The sequence below is a fragment of the Homo sapiens genome, chromosome 4 (genome assembly GCF_000001405.40).
Source record: "Homo sapiens chromosome 4, GRCh38.p14 Primary Assembly".
Classification (NCBI taxonomy): Eukaryota; Metazoa; Chordata; class Mammalia; order Primates; family Hominidae; genus Homo; species Homo sapiens.
In genome coordinates, this window is record NC_000004.12 from 127,984,580 (window position 1) to 128,009,427 (window position 24,848).

Sequence of the window (24,848 nt, forward strand, 5' to 3'; positions counted from 1 at the left end):
AGGTGTGGTGGCTCACGCCTGTAATCCCAGCACTTTGGGAGGCGGAGGCGGGTGGATCACCTGAGGTTGGGAGTTCAGACCAGCCTGACCAACATGGAGAAACCCCGTCTCTGCTTAAAAAAAATACAAAATTAGCCGGGCATGGTGGCACATGCCTGTAATCCCAGCTACTCGGGAGGCTGAGGCAGGAGAATCACTTGAACCCCGGAGGCGGAGGTTGCAGTGAGCCAAGATCACGCCTTTGCATTCCAGCCTAGGCAACAAGAGTGAAACTCCGTCTCAAAAATAAATAAATAAATAAATAATACTATTTGTGCGTTAACTGGATGTTTTTAATAACTATGTTCACATATATTGGAAGCATATGTTTATTACTTGCCTAAATATATAGAGAAGTATTTAGGCTGGATATTTCTGGACCTCATTTTCTGTCTTTAGGCTCAGGAGGGTTAAACCACTCAACATTACAGAACAATAGTGAGTATTAAAGGGGAATAATCTAGTTGGAGAATCAGCACATAAGAAATTATTAACAAACAACTGTTAAATAACACCAGGAAAAATATTATGGGATACAGTTAATTCCTGAGAGAATGGTAGAAAGAAAATGCTATAAAATTAGAGAAGGCAAGGATGTTTTTGTAATCTTTTTTTTTTAAGGAGGCACCTGGTTTTCTGTAAAATATTTCTAGGTTTATGTAATTGCATACTTGGAGGTATTGTTGGAGAGGGGATACAAATGGGCAAGTTTCACACATCCCTCACTCGCCTTCAAGCAAAGTAACTGTACTTGCATCTCATATGTTTTGGATATCTTTTAGATTTCTCTTTTCAAAAGAGTTCGACTGCTAAGAACAAAATTTTATAGATTGAAAACTCCTCCTCTATATCATAGAAGTTCTTTCTGTATCTTCTGAATTAATAACATTTCTCCCTGACCCTCAAATTTTGCTAAATATTTTTATCTTCTTTATTTTTTTCTATTAAAAAATTATAAACTTAAAACAAAAAAATTTAAAACATACCAAGTTAAAAAAAAATCTCCTTTAATCTCTGCCACTTTCCACCACCTAATTCCATTTCCCTCCCAAGAGTGAATTGCTGTTAAGATTTTGGAATGCATTCTTACTGATCTACTACCCTTAGTTTTTAAAAATTGAGATAAAGATACCCCAGCACTTTGGGAGGCCAAGGCGGGCAGATCGTGAGGTGAAGAGATCGAGACCATCCTGGCCAACATGGTGAAACCCCATCTCTACTAAAAAAAAAATACAAAAATTAGCTGGGCATGGTGGCACATACTTGTAGTTCCAGCTTTCCAGCTACTCGGGAGGCTGAGACAGGAGAATTGCTTGAACCCAGGATGCGGAGGTTGCAGTGAACCAAGATCGCGCCACAGCACTCCAGCCTGGCAACAGAGCTAGACTCCGTCTCAAAGAAAAAAAAATTGAGATAAAATTCACCCTTTTACAATATACAATTGAATGGTTTTTAAATTATATTACCAAGATGTGCAGCCATCAACATTGTCACTAATTCTAGAATATTTTCATTGTCCTAAAAAGAAACCCTGTATCCATTAGCTGTCACTTTCCATTGCCTCTTCCCCCACCTGCTGGCAATCACTAGTCTACTCTCTGTCTCTATGGATTCACCTAATGTGGACATTTCTTATAAATGGAATCATGCAATATGTAACTTTTTTTGTCTGGCTTCTTCACTTAGCATAATGTTTTCAAGGTTCATCCATGTTGTAGCATGTGTCAGTACTTCTTTTTGTTTTTGTTTTTATAGCATCAGAACATTCAAGAAAAACTTTATCCTTTTGTATAGCTAAATAATATTCTATTGTATTGTATACCACAGTTTGCTTATCCATTCATAAATTGATGGACATTTGGGTTGTTTTCACTTTTTGGCTATTATAAATAATGCTGCTATGAATACTCAAGTATGAGATTTTGTGTGAACATGTTTTTAGTTCTCTTGTGTATACTGAAGAGTTTAATTATTGGTCATGTGATGATAACTCTAAATTTAACTTTTTGACGAACTGTCAAACTGTTTTCCAAAGTGACTATACTATTTTATATTCCCACCAGCAGTGAATAAACATTCCAATTTTGCCATACTCACCAACCTTGTACTTGTCCAAGCCATCATAGTGGGTATAAAAGTATTTCCTTGTGGTTCTGGCTATGCCCTAATGACTGTGAGGCTGAACATCTTTTCAAGTGTGAATTGGCCATTTATATACCTTCTTTGGAGAACTGTCTTTTCAAACCCTTTGCTCCTTTTTACATTGAGTTATCCATCTTTTTATTGTTGGGTTGTATATTGTTTAATTTTAAAATCCATGTTATGTATAATATGTGTAATTCTAAAATTGTTTATTCTTACCAAGTTGCCAGCTATCAGAACACTAATTTGTTGCATTATTTTTCCCTTTAACATTAGTTTGTTCTGCTTCCTTTATTAATAATTAATAATGGGCTGGGTGCCGTGCCTCACACCTGTAATATCAGCACTTTGGGAGGCCGAGGCAGTGGATCATTTGAGGTCAGGAGTTCGAGACCAGCCTGGCCAACATGGTGAAACCTCGTCTCTACTAAAAATACAAACATTAGCTAGGTGTGGTGGTGCATGCCTGTAATCCCAGCTACTTGGGAGGCGGAGGCAGGAGAATTGCTTGAGCCTGGGAGACGGAGGTTGCAGTGAGCCGAGATCATGCCACTGTACTCCAGTCTTGGCAACAGAGTGAGACCCAGTCTCAAAAAATAGTAATAATAATGTATTAGTTTGTGCTGCTGCTTTATCAAATAACTTATTCTTATAAAATACATAAGAGGGTTGAGTGTGGTGGCTCACGCCTGTAATCCCAGCACTTTGGGAGGCTGAGGAGCATGGATCACTTGAGGTCAGAAGTTCGAGACCAGCCTGGCCAACCTGGCAAAACCCCATCTCTACTAAAAATAGAAAAAAATTGGCCAGGCATGGTGGCACATGCCTGTAGTCCCAGCTACTCAGGAGGCTGAAGCAGGAGAATTGCTTGAATCTGGGAGGCAGAGGTTGCAGTGAGTCGAGATAGCACTCACTGCACTCCAGCCTAGGTGACAGAGCAAGACTCAAAAAAAAAAAATAAATAAATAAAAATAAATACATAAGAAGAACACTTTATGCTAATAGGCATAAAAAACTAAATTGGAACGTTTTTTTGGATTAAAAATTCAGTTTTATAGAGATATTATGTCTCCTTAATCATTTTTTAAAATGCAATGCAATTTCAATTAAAGTATTGAACATAGAACCTAGATCCATACAAGCATCCTAAAATTATTTTGAGAAAATACTTGAGAGTACAATCAGATCAGGAATACTCTGGTAAGGAAGAGTAGTAAACAAAGACTAGTTCAGTCATATAACAATGAGTATTAAAATGCTGCAGTTGTCAACACAGCGTGATATTGGTGGAGAAGTAAAAGATAGGCAAATAAGACCTAATGAAGGATTGAAAATAACTTGTAGAAATATATGGATATTTAGTACATGATAATAGTAGCGTTTTAAGTCAGTTGCAAAAATATGTGGGTTATTTAATAGATGACATTTGTCCAACTGACTACAAAAAAAATTTTTGGTTTTTTTGTAAACAAAATACTGTTTTGTTTTGAGACAGAGTCTCACTCTGTCACCCAGGCTGCACTGCAGTGGTGTAATCATGGCTCACTGCAGCTGTGACCTCCTGGACTCAGGTGATCCTCCCACCTCAGCCTCCCACGTAGCTGGGACCACAACCACATGCCACCACGTTCAGCTAATTTTTGTATTTTTTGTAGAGACAGAGTTTTTGCCATGTTGCTCAGGCTGATCTTGAATTCCTGGGCTCGAGAGATCTGCCCACCTTGGCCTCCCAGAGTGCTGAGATTACAGGTGTGAGCCATTGTGCCTGGCCTGATAATGGGTTTTTTAAGTTGTTTTTAATTCAAATCAGAAACAAAAACATATCTGTGGATGATATGGCCACCGTGCCTGGCCAACATTTTACATTTTTCAAAAGAAGACATACACATGGCCAACCAGGTATATGAAAAAAATGCTCAGCATCACTAATCATCAGAGAAATGCAAATCAAAATTACAGTGATATATCATTTACCCTAGTTAAAATGGCTTTTATCCAAAAGACAGGCAGTATTGAAAGCTGGTGAGGATCTGGAGAAAAAGAGGAAACCTCGTACAGTGTTGGTGGGAATGTAAGTTAGTACGACCACTGCGGAGAACAGTATGGAACTTCCTCAAAAGCCAAAACTGGAACTACCATATGACCCAGCAATCCCCCCACTGGGTATATATGAAAAAGAAAGGAAATCACTGTATCAAAGTGATATCGGCACTCCCATATTTATTGTAGCACTATTCGTAGTAGCCAAGATGCGGAATCAACCTAAGTGTTCATCAGCAGATGAATGGATAAAGAAAATGTACAAATATGCAGTGAAATATTATTGAACCATAAAAAAGAATGAAATATTGTCATTTGCAACAACATGGGTGGAACTGAAGGACATCGCGTTAAGTAAAATAAGCCAGGCACAGAAGGACAAATTTCATGTGTTTTCACTCATATGTGGGAGCTGAATATTTTTACAAATTGAACTCATGAAGAATAGATTGATGATTATCAGAGGTTAAGAAAAGTAGCAGGGAGGGGAAGATAAAGTGGAGATGATTAATTGGTGCAAATGTACAGTCAGATAGAATCAATAAGATCTAGTATTTGATAGCATAATAGAGTCACTATAATTAACAATAATTTATTGTATATTTTGAAATAAGAGTGGAATTGGAATGTTCCTAACACAAGGAAATGATAAATGCTTCAGGTGATGGATACCCCAATTACCCTGATTTGATCATTACAACTCGTATGCCTGTATCAAAACATCACATGTACCCCATAATACATTCAATGATTATGCACACAAAATAATTTAAAATAAAGTACAGTGGCATAAAAAGTTTACATAGTAGGTGCTGAAAACATGATTTTAATTGGATAGAACTTTTTATTAGAAGAACATCCATGACAGACCAAGATATCTTAGTTTTCTTGCATACATCTTGGTTTTGATTTTCTTTTAGATTGAAGAGCAATCAGATTGTAAGATCTTAGATGGACACTTTGTTTCCCCCATGGCTCACTATGTGCCTGATATCATGCCAATTGAATCTGTTATTGCAAGGTAAGAATTTTTTTGTTCAAAAAGATGAATACATTATTTATGTTCATTAAAATTATAATATCAACACTATGTTATTTGAAATTAGGAGTAACAAGGCAGGCCTAAATTATTGAAAAGGCTGAATTAGAAGATATTTTAATTCTTCAAAGAACATAAGGAGTATATGTACAAGGATATTCATTGAAGCATTGTTTATAGTTGCAAAAAACAGATAATGCCTAAATGTTCAACAATAGGCGATTAATTATCCATACTGTGGATACCATTAGTAACATGGAAATATGGTCACAATGTGTGAAAGTTTAAGAAGATAATACAAATGATTTTTTAGTTCCATTTTTGTAAACACACAAGTATGCACAAACAATCACAGAGAAGTTTCCAAAGGATATATATGAATATACAAACTCTGCTTATCTCTGAGTGGAGAGATTTTTGGCTTTTAAATTTTTAGTTTTAGGTCAAGCATGGTGGCTTATGCCTGTAATTCCAGTACTTTGGGAGGCCAAGGCAGTGGGATCACTTGAGGTCAGGAGTTCTAGACCAGCCTGGCCAACGTGGCGAAACCCCATCTCTACTGAAAACACAAACAATTAGCCAGGTGTGGTGGCAGGCACCTGTAATCCCAGCTACCTGGGAGGCTGAGGCAGGAGCATCTATTGAACCCAGGAGGCGGAGGTTGCAGTGAGCCAAGTGTGCCACTGTACTCCAGCCTGGGCCACAGAGTGAGACTCCATCTCAAAAAAAAAATTTTTTTTTTAGTTTTAAATTTTTACAATGTACATGTGTTGATTTTATAATAGGAAGAAGAAGTACTTTTAAGTGAAGAAATTAAGAAACGTGGTAACTTAGACTAGACAGACTACACAGTTCAGCTAAGTAAAGTGCCTCAGGATTGGTATGTAATTAGCATATCAGTTTGAGAATGTAAATAGATGTTCCGAAATACCTGAGGTTCCTAAGTGGTTAATTATACAATAGTTGAAAACTGGCTTTTTGGATCTTTGTTAATGTACAGAGGTTATTCTTAGCCCAGTCTTGTTAATGGTTTTTTGTTTGTTTGTTGAGACAGAGTCTCACTCTGTTGCCCAGGCTGGATGGAGTGCAGTGGTGCTCACTGTATGCTGTGCCTTTCAGGTTCAAGCGATTCTCATGTCTCAGCCGCCTGAGTAGCTGGGATTATAAGCGTGTGCCACCATACCCGGCTAATTTTTGTATTTTTAGTACGGATGGACTTTTGCCATGTCGGCCAGGCTGTTCTCGACCTCCTGGTCTCAAGGGATCCACCTGCCTCGCCTCCCAAAGTGCTGAGATTACAGGCATGAGCCACCATGCTCGGCCACTGTTAATGATTTGTGTTTTGTTTTGTTTCGTTTTGTTTTGTTTTTGAGATGGAATCTCACTCTGTCTCCCAGGCTAGAGACAGAGTCTCCAGAGTCTTGCTCTGTTGCCTAGGCTAGATGGAGAGCAGTGGTGCTCACTGCACCCTCCGCCTCCCGGGTTCAGGTGATTCTCCTGCTGCAGTCTCCGGAGTAGTTGGGATTATAGGCACCCACCACACCTGGCTAATTTTTGTATTTTTAGTAGAGACGGGGTTTCAACATGTTGGGCAGGCTGGTCACGAACTCCTGACCTCAAATGATCTGCCCACCTCAGCCTCCCAAGTGCTGGGATTACAGGAGTGAGCCATTGTGCCTGGCCTGATAATGGGTTTTTTAAGTTGTTTTTAATTCTAAATCAGTGTTGAACCTAGATCTTTACACAGTTTTCTATTTTATGTTTTAGCTAATTTTATTTAAAAAGAACAAACTACTGTACTTTTTTTCCCCTACACTGTTGATAATAAACTATTTGCTGCTTCTGGTTAGTAGGTGTTTTCTTCTTTTAAGATTTTGTCTGCAATAGCAATGATAAAATAGTGATACATGTATGGGCATTTGAAAAATTCTTCAGTCAAGAAGAGATTATTCTGTAATGGAAACCTACTTAACCTTTTAAGTGAACGTATTGGAATCCTGAATTCCAATACATTCAGAACCCTATAAATGAATCTATAAAGTGTGAACTAACAGAAGAGTGGTTTGATTGACCTGATTAAAAGTTGTAGTCAGCTGTCCATTATTTTGTTACCCCTAAGGCATTATTTTAAATTTATATTTTTTTCTGTTGATAACCTCTGAATGAAAGGCAAGCAATGTCATGTAGTGGAAAGAGCTAGAACTTTGGAATTAAACAGATCTGGAATTGAACCCTAAGTCTACTCTTTATGGACCTAATGTCAATTACTTAAACTCTGAACCAGGCTTTATAAAGTAGGACTAATAACACTTATCTGGTAGGGTTGTTAAAAGTGATAAATAAGGAATGAGGCCGGGCACGGTGTCTCACGCCTGTAATCCCAGCACTTTGGGAGGCCTAGGAGGGCGGATCACCTGACATCAGGAGTTCGAGACCAGCCTGGCCAACATAGTGAAACCCCGTCTCTACTAAAAATACAAAAAAATTTAGCCAGGCATGGTGGCAGACATCTGTAATCCCAGCTACTCAGGAGGCTGAGGCAGGAGAATCACTTGAACCTGGGAGGCCGAGGTTGCAGTGAGCTGAGATCGTGCCATTGGACTCCAGGCTAGGTGACAAGAATGAAACACCATCTTAAAAAAAAAAGGAATGAAAATAGTGTGCGGGGAATATAAAAAACATAAACATGTAGCTCGTTTATGTATTTATTTATTTGTTTGACAGAGTCTTGCTTTGTCAATCAGGCTAGGGTGCAGTGGTGCTATCTTGGCTCACTGTACCCTCAACCTCCCTGGCTCAAGTGATCCTCTCACCTCAGCCTCCTGAGTAGTTGGGACTGTAGACTGATGTCACTAGACCTGGCTAATTTTTTTTAGTTTTTTTTGTAGAGATGGGGGTCTCACTACATTGTCCAGGCTGATCTCAAATTCCTGGGCTCATGTGATCCTCCTGCCTTTGCTCCCCAGAGTGCTGAGATTACAGACTTGAGCCACTGCACCCAGCCTTAACTCTTTTAGATATGCTTTATCTTATTAATGCTTTACTGAAAGCATTAAGTCAGCCTGAGCAACGTAGAAAGACCCTGTCTCTACCAAAAAAATAGAAAATAAATTATCTGGCCATGATGGCATGTGCCTATAGTCTTATATACTGAGGATTGCCTGATCGAGGTTAGAGTGAGCTATAATTTTACCACTGCACCCCAGCCTGGGTGACAGAGCAAGACCCTGTGTCAAAAAAAAAATTTTTTTTTTAAAGCATAAGTGAATGTGTAGCTCTTTAGCCAGTATGCTAAAGGATATAGAAGGAAAAGAAACTTTCAGTTTCTGTATATCATCACTTCAATCCCTGGAACTATGTGTCCCTTTCTCATAGATTCTCCACCTTATCTGGACAGTTATACAAGCTATAAAACATAAAGAAAGGAGGAAAATTATGTGCTTTTACTCAGACTCAGAAATACTCCTCAACATCTGTTGGAAATTGAGGAACGGTTCTTTCCAGTTAGTGACAGGAATGGGGAAACAAGTTGACTTCCTGTCTCTGCAGTGGCATATTTTTACAACACAATTAATATTTTTTTCAACAATTTCTAGTCAAATTTGAAGCATAACTTACTTTGATGAAATACTATAAGTTCCCAGATGATGCACATTGACATCTATTTTTCCTTTCCCCCGTCATTCTTGTGCAGCAATTTATCTTATTGCATTAAAACATTAGAAAATGCAAATAAGAAAAAAGAAAAAAAAATTCCACCAATGAGTGTTAACCACTATTTTATGTATATTCTAGTCTTTCTCCTATGTGTTCACATACAACTGTACTTATTTTTTTTTACCTAATTAATCAGTGAATATGCAGTTGGTTATCATTAATGGCTCTTTGGTATTCCATACTGTGACTCTACCATAATTTACTAATTCCTTATGGTGCACATTTAAGTTGCATTGTTTTTCACTATTATAAACAACATCACAATGAACATCCTTATATACATCTCCTTACCTGCTTCTCTATTTTTGTGCCATAAGTTGCTAAACATGGAATTTCTGGATTTATAAGATTTGCGCAGATTTTAAACTTTTGATCATATTGCCAAATAAGTAGGAAAATTTTAAGGCTATGCCAAGTATAGATTAATCCACAAGGAGAAACCTATTTGTCCTATTGTCATTTGGTCCATTACTCATGATTCTGTCTCTTTTTCACACTTTCTGTTTTTATTGAGGTAGAGAAAAATATATCAGGTAAATGAAATAAGGGAACTGCAAGCATTCTTTTCCGTTAAAGAACAGTTTTAAGACTGCTTAAGATCTGTGGTGACAGGTTTTATAGACCACAAAATATGGATTTCCCTATGTAATGTAAAATAGCTCATGAATTGTGATGTATCTTTGGGACAGCCTATATTGGAAATTTATTTATGTCAAAATTCCAAATGAATTATAATATTTTAAAACATAGCATTCAGGCCAGGCTTGGTGGCTCATGCCTGTAATCCCAGCGCTTTGGGAGGCCGAGGTGGGCAGATCACCTTGAGGTCAGGAGTTCGAGACCAGTCTGGCCAACATAGTGAAATCCTATCTCTACAAAAATTAGCAGGGCATGATGGCGGGTGCCTGTAATCCAAACTACTCAGGAGGCTGAGGCAGGAGAATCGCTTGAACCTGGAAGGCGAAGGTTGCAGTGAGCCGAGATCGTGCCATTGCACTCCAGCCTGGGTGACAGAGCAAGAATTCCGTCTCAAAACAAACAAAAAAAACAAACAAAATGTCCATTTGAGCAACCTTAAATAATTTTATGGTAACATGGCATAGTTTAGTATTCAAATATTACCCAAGATTGAATTCTAATACAAGTTCAGGAAAATTTAATATTTATCTTCTGGTAAAATATTAATATTCCTTTGAGGATAGTTTATATGTCTTCTATATGATTTTCATTTCTCAGCATCAGAGGTAAAAAATATTTTTCACATAATTGGGTTTAGGTTCCTCAAATATTTAGGGATAAAGCACTCATTTTATGTATGTATTTATTCATTTTTAAATTTTTTAGATGGAGTCTCACTCTGTTGCCCAGGCTGGAGTGCAGTGGCGCGATCTTGGCTTACTGCAACCTCTGCCTCCTGGGTTCAAGAGATTCTCATGTCTCAGCCTCCCTAGTAGCTGGGATTATAGGCACATGTCACCACGCCTGGCTAATTTTTGTATTTTTAGTAGAGATGGGGTTTCACCATGTGGTCCAGGCTGGTGTCAAACTCCTAACCTCAAGTGATTCACCTGCCTCAGCCTCCCAAAATGCTGGGATTACAGGCGTGAGCCACTTGGCCCGGCCAGGCACTCATTTTAAATTATGCATACTTGCAAATAAACTGCTCCAGGCTTTCATGATATTTTATTCCATTTATAGAAATATGTGTGTATGTGTAGGTATATATCTGTGTGTGTATGTGTAACAAAAACAGCTATCCTTTTCAGCATTACTTCAGGCATTACTTTTATGCCATATTCCAAATTGAACCAAAGAAATAAGATATTACTTAAAATAACAAAATGTAGATAATTCCTGTTCTGATTTCATGCTTACTACTGATCTAGTTTTTATTTTTAAAAGAATAGTGGTTTATTAGAGAGTAGAAAGATCAATATTTCTAAATTAATAGACTCGTGATTTTAAATATGTATGTTAAACTTTAAAATTAAATTTTACAACATTTTAAATATATATCAAAATAAACATAAGCAGGAAAAATAATACTTTAATTTTCACTGCTACTTTATTTTGATGGTTTTAACAGCAGTAAATTAAATATATTTATGTGTGATTTTAAATATAAGTATGTAACTAAGTAAATTCAATATTATAAGCAGGGAAAATAATACTTTAATATTATACTCTGCTTTTTTCTAATGATTACAACAATAGTTTTTGCCAATATTTTAAAAATCATTCTTACTGTCTTTAAATGGCATAAATGGCATTCAGTAGTTCTCTACTCATTCTAAAAAGGAAAAAAAATTGTATAAAAATTTTCCTTGGCTATAAAAAATTCTTTGTAGGTACTGGTAATTCCCTGTGTCTAACATAAGGAAGAGCCATGGGCCATGACTCAGCCACTCAGCTCCCTGCCCTTGGGCAATTTATTTAACTGTATGGTACTTAACGGCTTCCCACTTCTGAATTAGGGCTTGCTGGAAAGATACAGGCAGGAATAAAGAAATTAAAGTTGAAAGGAGTGTGGATGAGTAGAGGAAAAGGAGTAGACAGCTACATATTCATTTACATGTGCTGGAAAACCAGTATTTAGCTAAAATCTTTTATAAAACTAATGTGATATGACCTGAGCAGAGCCAAAATTTAACTGTTCAGATACATAGTATTCACTCACCTTTTCACTTTTATCGGGGGAACCAGCCCCCAATATTTCAACATACATTCTATTTTCCCTAAGTGTCAGCTGGTCTGAGAAATAAAGAGAAAGAGTACAAACAGAGAAATTTTACAGCTGGGCCTCCAGGGGTGTCATCACATATTGGTAGGACCATGATGGCGACCCCGAGCCGCAAAATCAGCAAGTTTTTATTAGGGATTTTAAAAAGGGGAGGGGGTGTACGAACAGGGAGTAGGTCACAAGGATCACATGCTTCAAAGGGCAGTAAAGATCACAGGCAAAGGCAAAATTAGAATTACTGATGAGGGTCTATGTCCCGCTGTACATGCATTGTCTTGATAAACATCTTAACAGGAAACAGGGTTCGAGAGCAGAGAATGGTCTGACTAGAATTTACCAGGCTGGAATTTCCCAATCCTAGTAAACCTGAGGGTACTGCAGGACACCAGGGCATATTTCAGTCCTTATCTCAACTGCATAAGACAGACACTCCCAGAGCAGCTGTCTGTAGACCTACCCCCAGGAATGTATTCCTTCCCCAGGGTTATTCCTTCCTGGGAAAAGAATTCAGCGATATTTCTCCTACTCGCTTTCTGCAAGAGGAGAAATATGGCTCTATTCTGCCCGACCCTGCAGGCAGTCAGACCTTATGGTTATCTTCCCTTGTTCCCTGAAAATCGCTGTTGTTCTGTTCTTTTTCAGGGTGCACTGATTTCATATTGTGCAAACACACATTTTACAATCCATTTGTACAACAGTGGTCCTGAGGTGACATACATTCTCAGCTTACGAAGATAACGTGATTAAGAGATTAAAGTAAAGACAGGCATAAGAAATTATAAGAGTATTGATTGGAGAAGTGATAAACGTCCATGAAATATTCACAATTTATGTTCAGAGATTGCAGTAAAGGCAGGTGTAAGAAATTATAAAAGTATTAATTTTGGGAACTGATAAATGTCCATGAAATCTTCACAATTTATGTTCTTCGCCTTGGCTCCAGCCGGTCCCTCCATTCAGGGTCCCTGACTTCCCGTAACACACTTTCTAATTGATTTGCATCTAATACAGATGTACATACACAATCTTACTGTACTCTCTGGAGATCAGGAAATATGATGAAAGAGTGTTAAAGACTTACATTTCAAAAGACTAGGCAGTCAAAAGGATATTTTTATTTTAAAAAGGAAAAAAAGTAACAACAACAAAAGACTAGGCAGAATCAGTACAAGGAGTTCTTTGAGGGTGGGGTAGAAGGAATACTGATTTCATATGACTTAAATTAGAGTTTCCTTGAATCTCAGCCCTCTTCAGTCTGCCTCTCTTCTAGACTCAAAAAGCTATGTATTTGCCTTTTGGAATGTGTAGTTTGAAACTTGTAGAGTACTGCTTTCAGCCTTGTCAAAGGCAACAAGTGATTAAGAAAAGCAGTGTACCACCTGGCGGCAGTAGGCAACTATGTGATTAAAGATGTGTAACCATAGCAGCTGTTGGCTCAGAGAAAAACTTAGTCATTTCTTACTAGCTCTCATCTTCCTCCCTCCTTACTTTCTGTTCCACTTCTTCCTTCTTTATTCTTCCTTCTTCTTCTTTCTTCATCTCCTCCTTCTCCTCCTTCACCTTTTTCCTCTCCTCCTCCTCGTTTTTTTTTGTTTGTTTGTTTTTTGTTTTTTGACAGATTCTTGCTCTATTGCTCAGGCTGGAGTGCAGTAGCGCAATCACAGCTCACTGCAGTCTTGAACTCCTAGGCTTGGGTGACCCTCCAACCTCAGCCTCCTGAGTAGCTGGGACTACAGGCATGCACCACCACAACCAACTAATATTTTTTTTATTTGTAGAGAACAAGGTCTCTATGTTGCCCAGGCTGGTCTTGAATTCCTGGGCTCAAGGGATCCTCCTGCCTCAGCCTCCCACAGTGCTGGGATTATAGGCATGAGCCACCATGCCCAGCTTCACTTCTTTATCTCACTTCCTCTTTTCTCTCTCTCTCTTTCTTTGACATGGTCTCATTTGTCTTATCCTTTGTAAATTTTTCAAGACGTTTCTTTTTTTTTTTTTTTTTTTGAGATGGAGTCTTGCTCTGTCGCCGAGGCTGGAGTGCACTGGCACGATCTCGGCTTACTGCATTCTCCTGCCTCAGCCTCCTGTTCCCGCCACCACACCCTGCTAATTTTTTGTATTTTTAATAGAGACAGGGTTTCACCATGTTAGCCAGGATGGTCTCGATCTCCTGACCTCGTGATCCGCCTGCCTCGGCCTCCCAAAGTGCTGGGATTACGGGCGTGAGCCACTGCTCCCGGCTGACTTTTTTTTTTTTTTTAAGAGACTGGATCTCACTGTTGGCCAAGCTGGTCTCAAACTCCTGGACTGAAGTGATTCTACCCATCAGCCTCCCAAGTAGCTGGGACTATAGGTGTGCGCCATTGCATCCAGCTCTAATTCTTCAGGTCTTTCTGGTTTTTCTCCACTCCCCTCTCTCTGCAAATGCCATTATTAAATGTAGCCCCCACCAAAAGGCAAAGAACTAAATAAGATAAAAGCAAAACAGTTTATTCTAGTAACTTATAAATGTTACATTTTAAATTATATGAATTGTCTAAGTCTGTAGCTTGTCTTTAACTCTGCCACTATGGTACTTTACGTACTTAGGAACTTTAAACATCTTTTGAATGATTATTGGGATGAAATATTGGGCTTTTAGAGTCTAGAATCCAAAGCAAAGCAGTTATGCAGCTATGGAAGCGATATAGTTGTTCATTGATTTCTTGATTACTCAAGATGAAGGAGTTCATTATTATACGCAGACTTTCATTTAAATATATAAAATATATATATATTTTTAAAAAACATGAGCCTGGCCAACATGGTGAAACCACATTTCTACTAAAAATACAAAAATTAGCTGGGCTTGGTGGTGCACGTCTGGAATCCCAGCTACTAAGGGGGCTGAGACAGGAGAATCACTTGAACCTGGGAGGTGGAGGTTGCAGTGAGCAGAGATCGTGCCACTGCACTCCAGCCTGGGCGACAGAGTGAGACTGCATCTCAAAAATAGAAATAAAAAGTAAGAAAGTAGCCTTCTGGTGGCTTAGTTCTTACCATAGCTTAAAATGAAAGAGGCTCCTAGGTGAAGGTGAGTTGCTGATGTGGAAAAAAACAGGATTTTTTACTCTATTTAAAAACAAAACAATGACAACATATTAGCTAAAGCACTCATTTAGATTGTTTTAAAATTACAAAATAATACATGGTCATTATAAAATGAGTGCAAATAATACAGATTCTGGAGGAATCTTTAGGAAGGCTACCTATCAGGTACTATGCTCATGACCTGGGTGATGGGATTATTATTCTTTTGAAGGCTGCCTATTTGTATCTTTTTCCTGTTTTTTAGTGAGGTTATTTGGTTTTTGTTAAATTGTTTAAGTTTATTATAGATTCCGGATATTAGACCTTTATTGAACGCAAGTTTGTGAATATTTTTCTCACATTCTGTAGGTTGTCTCAACCTGTTGATACTTTGTTTTTTTTCTGTGCAGAAGCTCTTTAGTTTAATTAGGTCCCACTTGTCTCTTTTCTTTATGTTGCAGTTGTTTCTGGGGACTTACTTATAAATTCTTTGCCAAGTGTATTAGTTTGCACGCTGCTGATAAAGACATACCCAATACTGGGCAAACAAAAGAAAGAGGTTTAATGGACTTAACAGTCCACGTGGCTGGGAAGGCCCCACAATCATGGCGGAAGGTGAAAGGCACATCTCATATGGTGACAAACAAGAGAAGAGAGCCTGTGCAGGGAAACTCCCCTTTTTAAAACCATCAGATCTCATGAGACTTATTCACTATCACACGAACAACATGGGAAAGACCTGCCCCCATGATTCAACTACCTCCCACCAGGTCCCTCCCAAAACACGTGGGAATTCAAGATGAGATTTGGGTGGGGACACAGCTAAACCATATCACCAAGGCTGAACCCAGAATTTCCTAGGTTTTTCTTCTGGGGTTTTTATTGTTTTAGGTATTACATTAAAGCCTTTAATCCATCTTGAGTTAATTTTTGTTTATGGTGAAAGGAATGGGTCCAATTTCAATCTTCTGCATATGGCTAGCCATCTATCCTAACACCATTTATTGAATAGGGAGTCCTTTTTCTTTTGTCTGTTATTGTTGACTTTGCCAAAGATCAGGTGGTTATAGGTGTGTGGCTTTATTTCTGCATTCTCTATGCTATTCCATTGGTCTATGTGTCTGTTTTTATACCAGCATACCAGTACCGTGCTGTTTTGGTTACTATAGCCTTGTGGTATATTTTGAAGTTGGGTAATGTGATGCTTCCAGCTTTGCTTTTTTTGCTTAAGATTGCTTTGGTGATTCATGCTCTTTTTTGGTTCCGTATATGAATTTTAGAATAATTTTTCTAATTCTGTCAAAAATGGTTTTGGTAGTTTTATAGGAATAGCATGGAATCTGTGAATTACTTTGGACAGTACAGCCATTTTAACAATATTGATTCTTCCTATACATGAGCATGGAATGTTTTTCCATTTGTTTATGTCATCTCTGATTTCTTTCAGCAGTGTTTTGTAATTCTCATTGTAGAAATCTTTTACCTCCTTGGTAAGCTGTATTCCTAGGTTTCTGTGTGTGTGGTTGTGTGGCTATTATAAATGAGATTGTGTTCTTGATTTGGCTCTCAGCTTGGATGTTATTGGTGTATAGAAATGTTACTGAGTTTTATACATTAATTTTCTATCTTGAAACTTTGCTGAAGTTATTTATTAGTTCTAGGAGGCTTCTGGCAGAGTCTGTGGGGTTTTTGAGGTATAATATTATATTGTCTGCAAAGAGAGATGGTTGACTTCCTCTGTTTCTATTTGGATGCCTTTTATTTCTTTCTGTTGCCTGATTGTTCTGGTTAGGATTTCCAATACTGTGTTGAATAGTAGTAGTGAGAATGGGCATCCTTGTTTTGTTCCAGTTCTCAAGGGGAATGCTTCTAGCTTTTGCCCATTCAGTATGGTGTTGGCTGTGGGTTTGTCATAGATGGCTCTTATTATTTTGAGGTATCTTCCTTTGATACCTAATTTATTGAAGGTTTTTAACATGAAGTGATGTTGAATTTTATCGAAAGCCTTTTCTGTATCTATTGAGATGATCATGTGGTTTTTGTAAGTCTGTTTATGTGGTGAATAACATTTATTAATTTGCATATATTGAACCAATCTTGCATCCCAGGAATAAAAGCCCACCTGATTGTGGTGAATAACTTGTTGATGTGCTAGTGTTGTCCTTATAGCTTCTGATACTTTTTTCATTGAGGTTCTGTAGATAGTAAATTTTCTGAGTTATTTATATGTAAAGATGCCTTTATTATCCCTCATACTTAGTTAACCCCTTGCCTACTTATGCAATTCTTGGTTCAAAATAACTTCCTTCAGAATTTAGAAGGTTTTGGTGTGTTCTTTTCTGTCTTCCAGGATTATTGATGAAATGCTTGATACCAACTTGATTCTTCTACCTTTGTAGGTAACCAGTTATTTCTCTCTAGAAACTTTTGTGGTCTTTTGTATATCCTTAGTGGTTAGATGTTGAGTTTTGTTTTGTTTTGTTTTTTTTTTTAATTCCTTGTGCCTGCCACTCAGAAGACCCTTTCAGTTTGAAAAAAACAGATAAATTTTCATCTATTATTTTTGCAATTTTTTTCTCCTGTTTTGTCTCCATTCTTTTATGAGAGTCCTGTTAGAAACATGTTGGAGCCAGGCATGGTGGCTCACGCCTGTAATCCCAGCACTTTGGGAGGACGACGCAGGTGGATTGCCTGAGGTCAGGAGTTCGAGACCAGCCTGGCCAACATGGTAAAACCCGATTTCTACTAAAAATGCAAAAATTAGCTGGGCGTGGTGGCAGGCACCTGTAATCTCAGCTACTCTGCAGGCTGAGGCAGGAGAATCACTTGAACCCGGGAGATGGAGGTTGCGGTGAGCCAAGATCGTGACACTGCACTCCAGCCTGGGCAACAGAGCAAGGCTCCATCTTTTTTTTTTTTTTCTTTTTTTGAGATGGAGTCTCGCTCTGTCACCCAGGTTGGAGTGGAGTGTCCCTGCAATCTCAGCTGACTGCAACCTCTGCCTCCTGGAGTCAAGTGATTCTCCTGCCTCAGTCTCCCAAGTAGCTGGGATTACAGGCACTTGCCACCACATCTGGCTAATTTTTGTATTTTTAGTAGAGACGGGGTTGTGCCATGTTGGCCAGGCTGGTCTTGAATTCCTGGCCTCAGGTGATCTCCCTGCCTTGGCCTCCCAAAGTGCTGGGATTACAGGTGTGAGGCACCACACCCTACCAAGACTCTGTCTCAAAAAAAAGAAAAAGAAAAAAAAAAGAAAGATGTTGGAACTACTAGATTAATACTTTGTTTGTTTGTTTGAGACAGAGTCTCGCTCTGTCACCCACGCTGGAGTACAGTGGCGTGATCTGGGCTCACGACAAGCCCTGTCTCCTGAGTTCAAGTGATTCTTCTGCCTCAGCCTCCCGAGTAGCTGGGACTACAGGTAGGTGCCACCACGCCTGGCTAATTTTCATATTTTTAGTAGAGACAGTGTTTCGCCATGTTGGCCAGGCTGGTCTCAAATTCCTGACCTCAGGTGATCCACCTGCCTCACCTCCCAAAGTGCTGGGATAACAGGTATGAGCCACCACCACCACACCCGGCCATATTATCTACACCTTTTAACTCTTCTCTTATAATTTATCTCTCTGAATTTTTGTTGTTCACCACTTGTTTGACATTTGACCTTATTCTTCTAGTCTTCACCTTCATTATTTGGTCATTGTAGAAATTAATTCAAATAAGCCGGGCACGGTGGCTCACACCTGTAATCCCAGCACTTTGGGAGGCTGAGGTGGGCGGATCATGAGGTCAGGAGTTCGAGACCAGCCTGGCCAATATGGTGAAACCCCATCTCTACTATAAATACAAAAATTAGCTGGGCATGGTGGCCGCGTGGCTGTAGTCCCAGCTACACAGGAGGCTGAGGCAGGAGAATCACTTGAACCCAGGAGGTGGAGGTTGCAGTGAGCCGAGATCGCGCCACTGTACTCTAGCCAGGGCAACAGAGTGAGATGCTGTCTCAAAAAAAAAAAAAAATTAATCCAAATAATACAGATTCTGTTAAATTAAAATACATATTGTAAACCATAGAGAAACTACCAAATAAAAAGAGAAGTATAGCTAATAAGAGGGATAAAATAGAATGAAAAACACCCAATTAATCTAAAAAAAAGATAGAAAAGAATTTTAAAAAGAATAAAGAGATAACAGATGGAAAGCAAATGGCTTTTTATCATAATTTCCAAGATCTTTTTATTATCCAGCTAATTCTTTTCTCTTAAAAACATAATTTTTTATATATTTGGAAGTATTCTATTTTTCTGGCATGTAAATTAGAATGTGTATGTATATTTTAATTTTTAAACAATTTTATTGAGGTACATTTTACATATAAAATTTACTTATTTCAGGCTGGGCAGAGACAGCAGTCTCTACTGAAAATAGCAAAAATAGCCTGGTGTGGTGGTACGTGCCTGTGGTCTCAGCTACTTGGGAGGCTGAGGCTGACGATCGCTTGAGCCTGGGAAGCAGAGGTTGCAGTGAGCTAAGATCATGCCACTGCACTTCAGCCTGGGTAACAGAGCAAGACCCTGTCTCGATTTAAAAAAAAAAAAAACAAAAAAAAACCAAACAAACAAAAAACCATTTCAATTGTAGAATTCACTGATTTTTTAATACTTTACCTAGTGATGAAACTATCCCCATGATATAATTTTTTTAAATTATTCTTTTTATAACATCTGTTTCCTTCAAGATCAGTTGTTCTATTTGTTCGTCTCTACTTTCCCTGCCTCTTTTTGTTTTTTTAGAAAATATGAGGCTCAGCCGGGCACAGTGGCTCATGCCTGTAACCCCAGCACTTTGGGAAGCTGAGGCAGGCGGATCACCTGAGGTCAGGGGTTCGAGACCAGCCTGGCCAACGTGGTGAAACCCTGTCTGTACTAAAAATACAAAACTTAGCCAGGTGTGGTGGCACATGCCTGTAGTTCCAGCTACTCGGGAGGCTGAGGCAGGAAAATTGCTTGAACCTGGGAAGCAGAGGTTGCAGTGAGCCAAGATCGCACCACTGCACTCCAGCCTGGGCAACAGAGCAAGACTCCATCTCAAAAAAAAAAGAAAAAAAAGAACCAAAATAACAACTTCTGCCTCTGCTGCAGCCATCTCCTATGTCTGTTCTCAAATATTGTTCTAGCTCTTCAATGGAAAAACTTTAAACTCATCTTAGTAATAAGGTTTATTCAGTAAATTTATGTTTAGCTCCTTGTTAAAAATTATACGTGAGAGCCGGGCGCAGTGGTTCACGCCTGTAATCCCAGCACTTTGGGAGACCAAGGCGGGTGGATCACCTGAGGTCAGGAGTTCGAGACCAGCCTGGGCAACATGGCGAAACCTCGTCTCTACTAAAAATACAAAAATTAGCTGGTTGTGGTGGTGTGTGCCTGTAATCCCAGCTACTCGAGAGGCTGAGGCAGGAGAATCACTTGAGCCCGGAGGTGGAGGTTGCAGTGAGCTGAGATTGCGCCATTGCACTCCAGCCTGGGCGACAGAATGAGACTCCGTCTCAAAAAACAAAACAAAACAAAACAAAAATTATACATGAGGCCAGGCGCAGTGGCTCACACCTGTAATCCCAGCACTTTGGGAGGCCAAGGCGGGTGGATCACTTGAGGTCAGGGGTTCAAGACCAGCCTGGCCAACATGGCGAAACCTGTCGCTACTAAAAATACAAAAAATTAGTTGGGCATGGTGGCACACGCCTGTAATCCCAGCTACTTGGGAGGATGAGGCAGGAGAATCACTTGAACCTGGGAGGTGGAGGTTGCAGTGAGCTGTGATCATACCACTGCACTCCGGCTTTTGCAACCAGTGAGACTCTGTCTCAAAAAAAAATTGTACATATCCAAAACATGTTGAAACTTTGGTATAAAGTCTGTTTGTTGTTTCCTGCCCTATTTGTGCTATCATCAGCTGATTTCCTATTACTTAGATTCATAGGTAGCTGGAATTGAGAAAGGCCTATAGAGGTCATCTAGTTTATTATTCCTTTAAATGCTGTTGCTATTGCCATCATGCCAGTAAAGGAATGAAAAGCAAATCAACTTGTATGCATTTTTCTTTCTTTTTCTTTTTTTAAGAGACAGGGTCTCACTCTGTCACCTAGGGTGGAATACAGTGGCCTGATCACAGCTCACTGCAGCCTTAAATTTCTGGGCTCCAGTGATCCTCTTGCATTGGCCTCCTGAGTAGCTGGGACTACAGGAATGTTCCAGCACATCCAGCTAATATTTTTTATTTTCAGTTTTGCAGAGATAAGGTCTTGAACTCTTAGCCTCAAGAGATCCTCCCACCTTGGCCTCCCAAAGCACTAGGATTATAGACATGAGCCACTGAGGCGGACCTCCTGTGTGCATTTTCTACCTCATGAGATTTTAGAAGCGGGAAATGGGAAGCCATGAAGATCCAAGAGGATACTTCCCTTATCTCATCTTCTTCCCTGTTGCACAGTCTCTTGTCTCTGCTTTATGCCCTATGTCTATGTCATGGGCAGTCTGGCCTCCTCATTTCTCATACAGCTAACAAAACATAGCTACCACAGCCCCACAGAGCTTTCATATCCAAAAGCTCAACAGAATCTAACTATAGTCTGTCCCAATTCCATATTACCAAAAGAGCAAATCTCATTGCCCTAATTTGGCTTATGCTTGACCCAGTCAGCTGTGGCAGAGGAGTCACATGGCCTGTACCCATTCATCATGGGACACTGGGGAAGACTGTTAGAAGATAGTCGAATTTGAGCAGAGACACTGATTACTGAAATTAATTAGGTGGGTAGTTAGTTAATACTCCAATAAAAAATTCCTATTAAAGCTATTATCCAATAATGAAGTCACTACATGCATTGCTATGGAACAAAAGGAAAGTACAAATAATAGCAGAGATGTCCAGCTTTCTACTGAAAAAATTCTTAAGTGTTTTCATCTCCCCAAAATCTTTAAAATATCAGGAAACTCGACAATGCTGAGAACGCAAAATGAAGCAAAGGTGTTAGTTAACAGTGCCAGTTCTCGTTATGAGATTGAAAATTAAGAGTTCCCATGAGCACAACACAGAAATAATTCTTAAACCATTCTAAATTTATCTGTCTTTGTTCTATTCAGCAATTTATTGACAGTGGATAAGGGGTAATATTACCCCTTCTGTCCACGCAAAGTTTTCAGCTCAGAATTGAGGTTTTATGTTGCCTAAGAATCCAGTCACCTCAGGTCAAACCTTCAGCTGACAGAGTACAGTCTTTTACTATGATAGTAGTTCTAAAATACGAACTGCTAAGGAAATTAAAATGAGAAATCAGTTTGGGAAGATGAAAATGTTTTTAAGATAGATGATAGTGATGGTTGCACAACAGTGTTACTGTACTTAATGCCACTGAATCATACACTTAAAAATGGTTAAAACGGACACGTGTGGTGACTCATGTCCATAATCACAGTTATTTGGGAGGCCATGGCGGGAGGATCACTTCAACCCAGGAGTTCAAGACCATTCGGGGCAACATAAGGAGACTGTCTCCAGAAAATTAAAAGAAATTAGTTGTTCAAGACCAGCCTGACTAACATGGAGAAGCTGCATCTCTACTTAAAATACAAAATTAGCCGGGCATGGTGGCACATGCCTGTAATCCCAGCTACTTGGGAGGCTGAGGCAGGAGAATCACCTGAACCTGGGAGGTGGAAGTTGCAGTGAGCCAAGATCATGCCATTGCACTCCAGCCTGGGCAACAAGAGCAAAACTCCATCTCTCAAAGAAAAAAGAAATAAAGAAATTAGCCAGGCGTGATAGCACATGCCTGTAGTCCCAGCTGCTTGGGAGGCTGAGGTGGGAGGACTGCTTGAGCCCAGCAGGTCAGGGCTGCAGTGAGCTGTAATTGTGTCACCGCACAATTGTGTCACCCAATTATGGGCTAAAGTGAGACCTTGTCTCTAAAAAAAAAAAAAAAAAAAAGGTTAAAATGTATATTCCACCAGAGTAAAACAAAGAGAAGTCATATAGGTTAAAAGAAAAAACATAAAACATTAAATAAGGACCAAAATACTACAATAAGAAAAAAACAAAGGCCAGGTGCAATGACTCATGCCTGTAATCCCAGCACTTTGGGAGGCTAAGGCGGGAGGATCACTTGAGTCTAGGAGTTTGAGACCAGCCTGGGCAACATAGCGAGACCCCATGTCTAAAAAAAATGAAAAATTAGCTGGGCTTGGTAGCAGATATCTGTAATCCCAGCTACTTGGGAGGCTGAAGTGGGAGGATCACTTGAGCCCAGGAAGTTAAGGCTGCAGTGAGCTGTGATCATGCCACGGCACTCCATCCTGGGCAACAGTAAGACCCTGTCTCCAAAAAAAAAAAAAAAATAGACAAATAGAGAAAACTATCTGTGCGTTTGTGTTTTTTGTTTTCTGGCATGGATTGACTTTACTTGTAAGTATCAACATCTTAATGAATCAGATTCTATCATATACTAAAAGTTTTAAAAAAAGACAACATAAACTCTTATTGATATATCAACAGCTTGTACAGCCAAGCATTTCTTTTGCAAAGAGAAAAAGTCGGAGCTATATCTAAAGAGTTATTTCTTTTGGCTAGGCATGGTGGCTCACACCTGTAATCCCAGCACTTTGGGAGGCTGAGGCGGGTGGATCACAAGGTCAGGAGTTCAAGACCAGTCTGGTCAACGTGGTGAAACGCCATCTCTACTAAAAATACAAAAATTAACCAGGCGCAGTGGTGTGGGCCTGTACTCCTAGCTACTCAGGAGGCTGAGGCAGGAGAAGCACTTGAACCTGGGAGGCGGTGGTTGCAGTGAGCTGAAATCATGCCACCGCCCTCTAGCCTGGGCAACAGAGTGAGACTCCGTTCCTTTTTTTTTTTTTTTTTTTTTTTTTTTTGAGACGGAGTCTCGCTCTGTCACCCAGGCTGGAGTGCAGTGGCACAATCTCGGCTCACTGCAACCTCTGCCTCCCGGGTTTAAGCGCTTCTCCTGCCTCAGCCTCCTGAGTAGCTGGAATTACGGGCATGTGCCACCATGCCCGGCTAATTTTATTTATATTTTTAGTAGCGACGGGGTTTCTCCATGTTGATTAGGCTGGTCTCGAACTCTCAACCTCAGGTGATCCACCCATATTGGCCTCCCAAAGTGCTGGGATTGCAGGCGTGAGCCACCGCGCCTGGCCAATAGTTACTTCTTTTAAGACTTACTCATATATAGTGGTGTCTCTACAAGATAAGAAAATTTCTTTATGTATTTATTAAGTTATGATATTGAACAAGGTAAAGAATAGGGACAATAAATTCTGTTTGTGTTGTATTGAATATTTTAATATCCTAACAGAAAGCAGATTTACAATATCTTTGTAGCGTTTGGACAACTTAATTTAGTTAATTACAATTTGAATGTTAAAATTTCGACTGATCTTTTCTGTCAGATAATTTAAATGTAAAAGTTTTAAGAACTGAAAGTTTTTATTGAAAGTCCTTTAAAGAGAATTTTATTGATAAGTCTATGCTTTTAAAAATAGGTTCCAATTTATTGTGCCTAAAGAATGGAACAGCAAATATAGACCTGTATGCATTCATCTTGCTGGAACAGGAGATCATGTAAGACTTTATTATAATGCCTTAATCTCTAGATAATTTGTTAACATATTCTCCTTAACAGAAGTGGCTACTATATTCTTTTGAGTATGTGTTCTTTTCTTTCCTTAGCATTACTGGAGGCGACGAACACTAATGGCCCGTCCTATGATTAAAGAAGCCCGAATGGCTTCTTTATTGTTAGAAAACCCTTATTATATCCTTTTGTGATATCTAAGAAATCTTTTGCCTTGTTTATTTATTGATATATTTAGTCATCAAAAGGAATGATAGTAACCAAGTTTTCTAAACCAGTTAAATTTAGTCATCAGTTCAGAAAATACTTAAGGAGCAAGAATCAAAAGGAGTGAAAGACTATTTCATGCTTTTTAAAAATTAACATAAGGATTGTACTTCTATTGTGCAGTAAAGAAATTGTACTTCCATTTCTTG

The 24,848-nt window shown here is 39.1% G+C and overlaps 1 protein-coding gene across 19 annotated transcripts in view, besides 1 other annotated feature; it reads left to right on the forward strand.

Annotated features, from left to right (window-relative positions):
* ABHD18 (abhydrolase domain containing 18) overlaps nt 1-24,848 on the forward strand; it is a 74,548-nt gene that overhangs the window by 19,174 nt on the left and 30,526 nt on the right. For 7 of the 19 annotated variants that reach the window (NM_001319307.3, NM_001366037.3, NM_001319306.3 and 4 more), the window contains 2 exons: nt 24,341-24,419; nt 24,528-24,612. Coding sequence is in view for 12 of the 19 variants with exons in the window: in NM_001319306.3 (NP_001306235.1) it covers nt 24,552-24,612 (61 nt within the window). In the remaining 7 variants the exon portion in view is untranslated. Of the gene's footprint in view, nt 1-5,141; nt 5,243-17,136; nt 17,186-24,340; nt 24,420-24,527; nt 24,613-24,848 lie in introns of all 19 variants that reach the window. The other 12 variants (NM_001366038.3, NM_001358451.3, NM_001366039.3 and 9 more) reach the window with 4 other exon arrangements.
* Nucleotides 12,986-13,035: a silencer, noted in NCBI's record as "silent region_15679". NCBI's record gives its function as "represses an Ori minimal core promoter by ATAC-STARR-seq in GM12878 lymphoblastoid cells {active_cell/tissue: GM12878}" and the evidence as "EXISTENCE:reporter gene assay evidence [ECO:0000049][PMID:35858748]".